This window comes from Homo sapiens, chromosome 1, assembly GCF_000001405.40.
Source record: "Homo sapiens chromosome 1, GRCh38.p14 Primary Assembly".
Classification (NCBI taxonomy): Eukaryota; Metazoa; Chordata; class Mammalia; order Primates; family Hominidae; genus Homo; species Homo sapiens.
Window position 1 is genome coordinate 209,890,165 of NC_000001.11, and position 9,828 is coordinate 209,899,992.

At 43.6% G+C, this 9,828-nt stretch overlaps 2 annotated features.

The window, feature by feature from the left end:
* Nucleotides 5,231–6,430: an enhancer, noted in NCBI's record as "BRD4-independent group 4 enhancer chr1:210068740-210069939 (GRCh37/hg19 assembly coordinates)". NCBI's record gives its function as "activates an origin of replication core promoter dependent on BRD2, P300/CBP, MED14 and CDK7 cofactors, and independent of BRD4, by STARR-seq in HCT116 cells {active_cell/tissue: HCT116}" and the evidence as "EXISTENCE:reporter gene assay evidence [ECO:0000049][PMID:35650434]".
* Nucleotides 8,328–8,855: an enhancer, noted in NCBI's record as "H3K27ac-H3K4me1 hESC enhancer chr1:210071837-210072364 (GRCh37/hg19 assembly coordinates)". NCBI's record gives its function as "activates a minimal SCP1, AML or CMV promoter by ChIP-STARR-seq in naive H9 embryonic stem cells {active_cell/tissue: H9 hESC(naive)}" and the evidence as "EXISTENCE:reporter gene assay evidence [ECO:0000049][PMID:30033119]".

Here is a 9,828-nt window from a genome sequence, read left to right on the forward strand (position 1 = left end):
CAGATTCTCATATTGTAGAGATTATTGGGCACTTGCCAAAGTGTTGATAAAGCTAATATTTTTGTCTTTTTTTGGCTAGCGGTGCTTATGTGTATTATCTAAGAGTCAGAATCCAGAGAGGAAAAGAAGGTGGTTTTACATCCAGAACTGCTGGCTCTGTTGCTGGGTTAGGAGCTTTCTCCATCTTAGTCTGTTCTATATCAAGGCTAACCTTACTTTCATGGATCAGCGAATCTGCAGGCCCTTTCAGTGATTTTTAAAGCCATACACACAAATACTATCTAACAACCCTCAAAGATGGCCTGCCACTAGAAATTTATTCATTTTACAGTTACCAAAGTAGGAGGATGGAGACACCTTCAGTAATATTTGTTTAGGGACCTAGAATTCAAAACTAAAAACTATGTAGTCTAATTTTGTCACAAATAGCTCATACATGTTAGCAAGTTAATTCTGACAAAAGTCAATCTAGGCGGGCTTACTTATATTTCTACTTATCATCTTAAAAATAAAGTTTGAGTTCCAGTTCCACTACCAGTTGTTCTGTGATTTGGATAAGGCCTATTCCTGGGCCTCCATTTCCTCGTCTAGAACAATGGGTGTTTTGATCCAGACCATCACTGACAACCCTCCTGCTCCTATGTCCTTTTCATACTCAGAAGTTAGCATTTGAGCCTACGTTGCCTTCAGGGTGTATTTTGGTGGCTCTGAGGGGTTTGGGGAGAGGCGTAGATCTAGAGGAAAATTTAATGAACATAAAGGGAGAAACTTGCCAGATGCAAAGTGGGAGTTTATTCCAGGAATATTAAATTATCATGAAATACATCCATCTACATTTATTAAGAAAAGGAAGCAAAACTCTTCTTGCCTGAAGCCTTCATTTCTAAAGCATTAACAAATTATTCATTTCCTTCATGAGCTCTTTAGTCCTTGGGGTATTTAACACCAGGAGTTTGACCATATTATGACTCATCCTTATATCACATGATAAAGATGATACTAAATATTGTAAACATATGACAGTGGATATAAGTTATGAATCCTCATTAATTTATTTTGCTTTTAGCTTAATGGCTTAATACTTTGCAGTAAACTTCTTTTTACCCAAAACAGGACTGGTGTGTCTCAGATTTGCAGTATTTTCATGAGTAAATACCACTGACCACATTAAGAAAGCATTCTTCTTTTATGCAGATGTGTGCCAAAGATTATTAAAATGAGAAAGAATTTTACTTTCTCAGCTACTTTAAAAAAATAAGATTTTAAAACAGGCCATATCATTATTTAGCTGTATACTCTATGTTAGTTTTCCGTGACTGCATAACACATTATCACAAACTTAGAGCAACATCCAATTCTTGGCTCACAGTTCTGTAGGTCAGAGTGTGGGCTCTGCTGGATTCTTTACACAGGATCAAACAGGGCCAAAATCAAGGTGTTTGCCTACTGGCTCTTCCCTGGAGGATCTGGGAAGAATCTGCTTTCAAGGTCATTCAGGTTGTTGACAGAATTCTATTCCTGTGGTTGTAGGACTGAAGTCCCATTTCCTTGCTGGCTATTGGTGGGGGGCTGCTCTTTGGTCCTTAAGGTCACTCACATTCCTTGGCAGATGACCCCTTCCTTCTTCGAGCCAGAAATGGTGCATAGAATCCCCTTTGTGCTTTGAATCTCTGACTCCTCTTCTGTTGCTAGCCAAAGAAAACTCTCTGCTCTTAAAAGGTTCATCTACTGGGTCAGGCCCACACAGATAATCTCTGTAACTCAAGGGTAACTGATTTGGGACTTTAATTATATCTGTAAAATACCTTCTCAGCATTAAGACGATTAGTGTTTGACTAACCAGGGACAAGCATCTTGAGGGGACATTTTTATAATTCTATCTATCTGTCATACATGACTAACCAGGGACAAGCATCTTGAGGGGACATTTTTATAATTCTATCTATCTGTCATACACAGTTGTCCCTTGGTATTCATAGGTGATTGGTTTCAGGACCTCCCCGAATAGCAAAATCCACAGATGCTGAAGTCCCTGGTAAAAAATAGTCTAGTATTTGCTTATAATCTATGCACATTCTCCTGTATACTTTAAATCAACTCCAGGTTACTTATAATACTTAATACAATGTAAATGCTATGTAAGTAGTTGTTTTTAGGGAATAATGACAAAGAAAAATGGTCTGTACATGTTTGGTACAGATGCAATATCTTTTTCCAAATTATTTTCTACCTGTGGTTGATTGAATCCATGGATACAGAACTCACGGATATGGAAGGCCAACTGTACTTTAATGCAATTAAGCAAATTATCTAACCTCTTTTTTTTTTTTTTTTTTTTTAAGAATCCTACTCTGACAGCTTTAATGAGTAGACCTACAAAGGGATTATGCTTATGATAACTTTTCTACATCAGCCAACAAAACAAAATAATAAAAACAACAACAAAAACTGTTCACACTGGATCTATAAGATGCCAAAGCACATGAATAAAAAATAGACTTAATCATTATCAGTCTTGTTCACTGCCATTTGCCCAGCTCTTGGAACAGAGCCTGGCCCAAAGTAGGTGCTCATTAAACATAGTGTTTGCTGAATGAATGGATGTACAGCACTAATTACAGCCCTTTAGTTAACTATTCATCAAGTGCTCCCTGCACACAGTGGACTTGTGCTGAGTATAGTGAAGGAAGATTCATTGTGCTGGTTGATTTTATGTGTCAACCCAGCTAGGCTATGGTACCCAGTTGTTTGGTCAAACACTAGTCTATATGTTGCTGTGAAGGTATTTTTTAGATGTGATAACACTTAGATAAGTAAAGTTTGAGTTAAGCAGATTGCCCTCCATAATGTGGGTGGGTCTCATCCAATCAATTGAAGATTTTAAGAGAAAAGACTCAAAGCGGGTGGATCACTTGAGGTCAGGAGTTCAAGACCAGCCTGGCCAACATGGCAAAACCCTGTCTATACTAAAAAAAAACAAAAACAAAAATGAGCCGGGTGTGGTGGCACATGTCTGTAGTCCCAGCTACTCAGAAGGGTGAGGCAGGAGAATCACTTGAACCCAGGAGGCAGAGGTTGCAATGAGCCAAGATTGCACCACTGCACTCCAGCCTGGGTGACAAAGCGAGACTGTCTCAAAAAATAAATTAAAAAAAAAAAAAAGAAAAAAGACTGAGGTTCCCTGAGGAAGAAGAAATTCTGCCTTCAGATTTCTTTCAGACTCAAAACTGCAATATCAACCCTTCCATGGGTCTGTGGTATTCTGGGAACAGGGAAAAGAACAGCCCAACTAAAGAATCCCAAAGGTAGAGAAACATGCTGTTATGGAACCTGGAGCTAGGTTGCAGAGAGCCCTGATAAGCATAGAACATAGGCTGCAAAAGCCTTAAAGATTCATCTTTTAAATAAACAGCATTAAGTACTTCTCTTTCTTGGGCAGGCTAGAGTTCCTATCATCTTGCCCAGGCCTCTCATCTTGTAACAAGAAGCTGAGACCCAGGGCGAGTGTCCTTGGGTCACAGGGGAAATCTTTGCAGGAGAATGCAATCTTCTACTGCCTCAGCCAGCACTCTGGCTACCACATTTTCCTGCTTCCTGCGTCTCCAAACTCATCTGCCCGCTCCCGCGTTGCTTACTGCAACTCAACCACACTGGTTCTCTTGCTGCTCCTCAAATGCTCTAAGTTTGTTCCCACTTCAGAACCATTACACTTGTTCCCTCTGCCCAAAAGCCAAAAGGACCTTGCCTTGGGTTTTCACACACTGGAGCTTCTTGTCTCTGATCTCAGCTCAGCTGTTGTCTTCTCAGAAAAGTCTTCCCTGACCACAGGCTTGAATGGTGCCTCATCCACATCTGTCCCATTGCCCTGATTTACTTTACTTTTTTTTTTTTTTGAAATTTTTTTTGAGACAGGGTCCCACTCTGTCGCCCAGGCTGGAGTGCAGTGGCACAATCTCAGCTCACTGCAGCCTCCCTTTCCCGGCTTCCTGGGTTCAAGTGATTTTCATGCCTCAGTCTCCTGAGTAGCTGGGACTATAGGCATGTGCCACCACGCCCGGCTAATTTTTGTGTTTTTAGTAGAAACGGGGTTTTGCCATGTTGGCCAGGCTGGTCTTGAATTCCTGAGCTCAAGCAATCCACCTGCCTCGGACTCCCAAAGTGCTGGGACTACAGGTGTGAGCCCCGCATCCAGGCTACTTTCTCTATTGTACTAATCAATGTCTAGAATTACTATTATTTACCTCTCTATTGTTTGTTTCCCCAAATAGAATATAAATTCCCTGAGAGTAGAATTTGTTCCCTAATGTGATTTGCTCATTGCTTTAACCCCAGCACCTTGAATAATGTACATATTAGGTACTCTATAATTATGAATCGAATTAATGAGTGTTGAATACAGATCTCAGCTCTTGCAAAGTGGTTTAAAGGGGAAAAGAGATCAAGAGAAGCAAAGAGGCATTTTAATGAGGTAAGCGGAGAAGCCGCCAGCAATCACCTCTGGTCCCACAGCAATGCCCTTTCCCTTCTTCCATTTTTTTTTCAAAGCAGATGCCTCTAGATGGAATTGTTAAGGTCACAGTTCTTGCTGGATAAAAATCACAAATCGTGCTGACTTCAGCTCACCATTAAAATTCCCCACAATGCCAGTTTCAAAACAAAGTGCTCTCCGAAAGATGAAACCTTATGTGTTCCTCCCTTAACGTTCCCCTCTTAACCGCGCATCATATGAAGCCTGTCAGCTTCCCTGGACTCACTGTGCTTTATCACTAATCCTTCACTTTTCCCTTTCTGCCTCAAAGGAGGATGCTCCCCGCTTCTCTTACTGAACCAAACATGGATTTGCTTATGCTGTGCAGTAAAGCTAAACATCCACCCTGAGGTTTTGCAGCAAAAGAAAGGAGGATGTTTATTTGCAGGGCCCCAAACAAGGAGAATCTGGCAGTTTACACTTCAGACCTGACCTACTTGATGGCTTACAAGCAAGGCTTTTTGTTGTTGTTGTTTTGTTGTTGTTTGTTTGTTTGTTTGTTTTGAGACAGGGTCTCACTCTGTCATCCACGTTCAGCGTGTGCAGTAGTGTGATCTCAGCTCACTGCAACCTCCACCTCCCAGGCTCAAGCGATTCTCCTGCCTCAGCCTCCAGAGTAGCTGGGATTACAGGCATGCACCACTATCGCCCGACTAATTTTGTATTTTTAGTAGAAATGGAAACCGGTTTCACCATGTTGTTCAGGCTGGTCTTGAACTCCTGGGCTTAAGCGACCCTCCCACCTTGGCCTCCCGAAGTGCTGGGATTACAGGTATGAGCCACCGTGCCCAGCCTCAAGCAAGGTTTTTTCAAAGGCTGAGATAAATTTCAGGAAATCAGAAATCACAAGCAAAATGGTAAATCAATACATGGAGGTTATATATTGGTTTGGCCTAAAAAGGTGGTATATCTCGAATTGGGGCTTTACAGGTCACAGGTGGATTCAAAGACTCTCTGGTTTGCAATTCACTAAGGAAGCAAAGCTTTGTCTAAACATTTGGGGTTGGAAGAAAAGAATGTTAAGATCTAGCATGTGGGCATGACTTTCTCCAGGGCCCTCAGGAAGAAATTTAGAACAAAGAATGATAGAGTTCAGTCCTCAGTTCTCCCGTTTGAGGTCTACATGCCAGCAGACAGTATTTTCCATTTGGTGGGGTGCGGGGGAAGGTAGGGGCGGGTCCAGGTTTCTGAAAAACAACTCAGGGACGAGGTATGTTAAGATGTTATCTTTAGTTTCTCTAGAGAACCAAACATCCTGTGACTCTAACTTTCTTGGCTATTGTTTTAAGCTATTAGATTACTCATTTATTTCTCAAGGCTAGCTAGGTGCCTGGAATTTCCCTTGAAGAAACTCAAGATTTTCCTTTATTCCCATGCTTGGGTTGGGGGTGGGAAGGCAGGATCCTAAAAGGGGTCCCTGCTCTGTCTCACTTCCATTTCAGGATTTTCTTCTTTACTTGTTCTCTGAACCCCTTCCCAACTGATCTTCCTCCTGCCTCAGATCCACATTTCACATTGCCACCCAAGGATCTTCAATAACCACTTATATGAATATTGCTCTCTTACTCGGATACCTTCACTGGCTCCTCAAACTCACATTATTGAGCATGGTACTCAAGGCCCTCCCCAAGGACAAAGACCAGCTTACCCTCTTCACCCTTATTTCTACGTGCCCTAGCATTAAACTGACGTCAAAGCATATAGGATATAACTAACTACCTGCAATTTTAATGCAATGGAGCTGTTGGCTTGTAGCTATGACAGGAAAAGACATTTGACCACAGGGTATGCAGGGTATCTGGTGCAAAGGCATTCTGGCAGAGCAAACCCAACACATCAGTTTTACTGTTTCCCATGACTTGCGAATCCACCCTGGAGAGGATTTGAATCAGTTGACTTCTTCCTCTAAAACCTTCCTAGCTGCATGGCTGTTTGTGTGTGTGTGACTGCATTATTGAGTACACAAGCCTTTTGAATCAGGGATCTCAGATTTTAGAACTGTCAATTATTTCACATCATCCTAAACCTCTCTTCCCTTCCATTAGCGTGGATAATTGGAAGCTGATGAGGGTTAGCATTACACAAGGAGATAAATTCATTCAACAAACATTCAGCAAACACTCATTAAGTACCTAATGTATGCCACCTTGAGATACAGTGTAGAAGAGGACACAACCATGTAAGCATCATTACTTCAGAAGAAGAAATGCTATAATAAAGGTATGTTCAATATTAGGTGTACTGAGGGAACATAGAGACAGTGCTTCTCTAACAATCTAAAGAGGACAGGGAAGGCTTTGGGGAGAAGGTGACAAGACGTGGAGGATGTGAATCTGAGGCAAGGATAGAAGGAGAAGTAAATTTGCCAGACTTCACCCCCATACCATCAGTATAATTTGAGAAATATTTTTAAACATCATGACTGTACAGATTTTTTTAGTGGCATTATTTGGGCCATACTGAGTGATTGCTGCATGCATTTCTACTCCTTTGACCTACTTTTTCATAAGTGTCAACAGAGGCTTGCAAACAACCACTAAAATAGTGTTCACAATGTATCAGGACGGAGTTTTGAATTAGAGGCGTCCATGCTGTGCTGAAGCTGGTGGTCTTGTGAGCAGAAACACTTTGCTAAGGTTGTAAGAGAGAAGCGAAGGAAGCATAGCAGGGCAAGAGGAGGAAAGAGACAGAGCAAGCCTAAAGCTAAAGAGTTGTGAGGGGTGGAGCCCGGGTCATTCAGGGATTTTTTTAAAGTGGGTTGCTCACAATGTTTCTGGAAGAGCGTACAACTTAGCGGACAGAACCCATATGACTTGTAAATTACAAGGCAGTCATTACATAGCCAAGCTACAGGAAGGGCGCCTTCTGTTAGAGTGGCTACGTAACTCTCGATTTCAAAATGCCTATTGGTTCATTTGCAGGACTCGGCAAAAAATAAGCACAAGAGTACATCAAACTTAGCATTTTGGATCAAGCCAATTTTGTTGCCAAAGGACACTTCATGAGATCAGTAGTAGCTGCCTCTATGTTGATCATCTAAAGTCATAGAGGTACCATATTCTCAACTTCTTCCTATGAATTTCAGTTTTTAAATTACTGAGTCAAAAGCAGTAAGCATTTAAATCACTTTTGATAACTAGCCTATATAGTGTTTATCAAAAGAGCTGTATTAATTTACTGTACCACCAACAGGGTACATGTATACCAGATTCACCACGATCTGTCATACATTTAGCAAAAGTAAGTTAGTGAGTTAACAATTTATGATTTAGTATATTTACAACTGTGTCCGGAATTGATGGGTTCTTGGTCTCACAGACTTCAAGAATGAAGCCGTGGACCCTCGCGGTGAGTGTTACAGCTCTTAAGGTGGCGCGTCTGGAGTCTGTCCCTTCTGATGTTCAGATGTGTTCGGAGTTTCTTCCTTCTGGTGGGTTCAGTGGTCTTGCTGGCTCAGAAGTGAAGCTGCAGACCTTTGCGGTGAGTGTTACAGCTCTTAAGGCAGGGTGTCTGGAGTTGTTCGTTCCTCCTGGTGGGTTCGTGGTCTCGCTGGGTTCAGGAGTGAAGCTGCAGATCTTCGCGATGAGTGTTACAGCTCATAAAAGCAACGTGGACCCAAAGAGTGAGCAGTAGCAAGATTTATTGCAAAGGGCAAAAGAACACAGCTTCCACAGTGTGGAAGGGGACCCCAGCGGGTTGCCAATGCTGGCTCGGTCAGCCTGCTTTTATTCTCTTATCTGGCCCCACCCACATCCTGCTGATTGGTAGAGCTGAGTGGCCTGTTTTGTCAGGCTGCTGACTGGTGCTTTTACAATCCCTGAGCTAGATACAAAGGTTCTCCACCTCCCCATCAGATTAGTTAGATACAGAGTTTTGACACACACGTTCTCCAGGGCCCCACCAGAGCAGCTAGATACAGAGTATTGATTGGTGCACTCACAAACCTTGAGCTAAACACAGGGTGCTGATTGGTGTATTTACAATCCCTGAGCTAGATATAAAGACTCTCCACGTCCCCACCAGACTCAGGAGCCCAGCTGGCTTCACCTAGTGGATCCCGCACCGGGGCTGCAGGTGGACTGCCTGCCAGTCCTGCGCCGTGCGCTCGCATTCCTCAGCCCTTGGGTGGTCGATGGGACTGGGCACCGTGGAGCAGGGGTTGGTGCTCGTCGGGGAGGCTGGGGCCGCACAGGAGCCCATGGAGTGGGTGGGAGGCTCAGGCATGGTGGGCTGCAGGTCCCAAGCCCTGCCCCACGGGAAGGCAGCTAAGGCCCGGTAAGAAATCGAGCACAGCGCTGGTGGGCCGGCACTGCTGGGGGACTCAGTACACCCTCCGCAGCCACTGGCCCGGATGCTAAGTCCCGCATTGCCCGGGGCCAGCAAGGCTGGCTGGCTGCTCCGAGTGTGGAGCCCACCAAGCCCACGCCCACCCGGAACTCCAGCTGGCCTGCAAGCGCCGCACGCAGCCCGGGTTCCCGCTCGTGCCTCTCCCTCCACACCTCCCTGCAAGCTGAGGGAGTGGGCTCCAGCCTTGGCCAGCCCAGAAAGGGGCTCCCACAGTGCAGTGGGGGGGCTGAAGGGCTCCTCAAATGCCGCCAAAGTGGGAGCCCAGGCAGGGGAGGTGCCGAGAGCAAGCGAGGGCTCTGAGGACTGCCAGCACGCTGTCACCTCTCAAAACAGTACCTTAACAATGGTTTAACGTGCATTCAACAAACATCCAGGAAACAATTATTAAGCACTTAATGTACTTTGATTACTGGAGTTATCTTTTTAGGCTGGCCCAAAGCCACTAGAAAGGTCCATTTGAATCAGGCATCATTGCTGATTTGATGATTTCTCCCTTTCCTTCATCCGCCATAGGAATCAACATATATATATATGTGTGTGTATGTATACATATGTATATATACAGTCATTGAGTTCTTTTGACTCTCTCTTTCAAAGGTCTCTTACATCTATCTATCCTACTATTTTTATTCCTGCTACCATCAGCATAGTTCATAGTGCAGAAAGCTTAAGTCTGTGCTACTGAAAATGTCTTCACAGGTCTCTCTGCCTTCAGTCTTCCCCATGGTAATAATCACAACTCATTTACTGAGCAACTACTATGAGCCAAGCTGACTGCTGGGTGTTTCATAGACATTACCTCCCACAACAACCCCATGGGGCAGATATTAACTCCACTTTACAGATGAGGAAACTGAGACACAGAAAATTAAGATAATCACTGAATTTACCCAACAGTAAGTGGAAGAGCAGATATTTTAACCTGAGTCTGAGTCCAAAACCTGTGTCCTCAA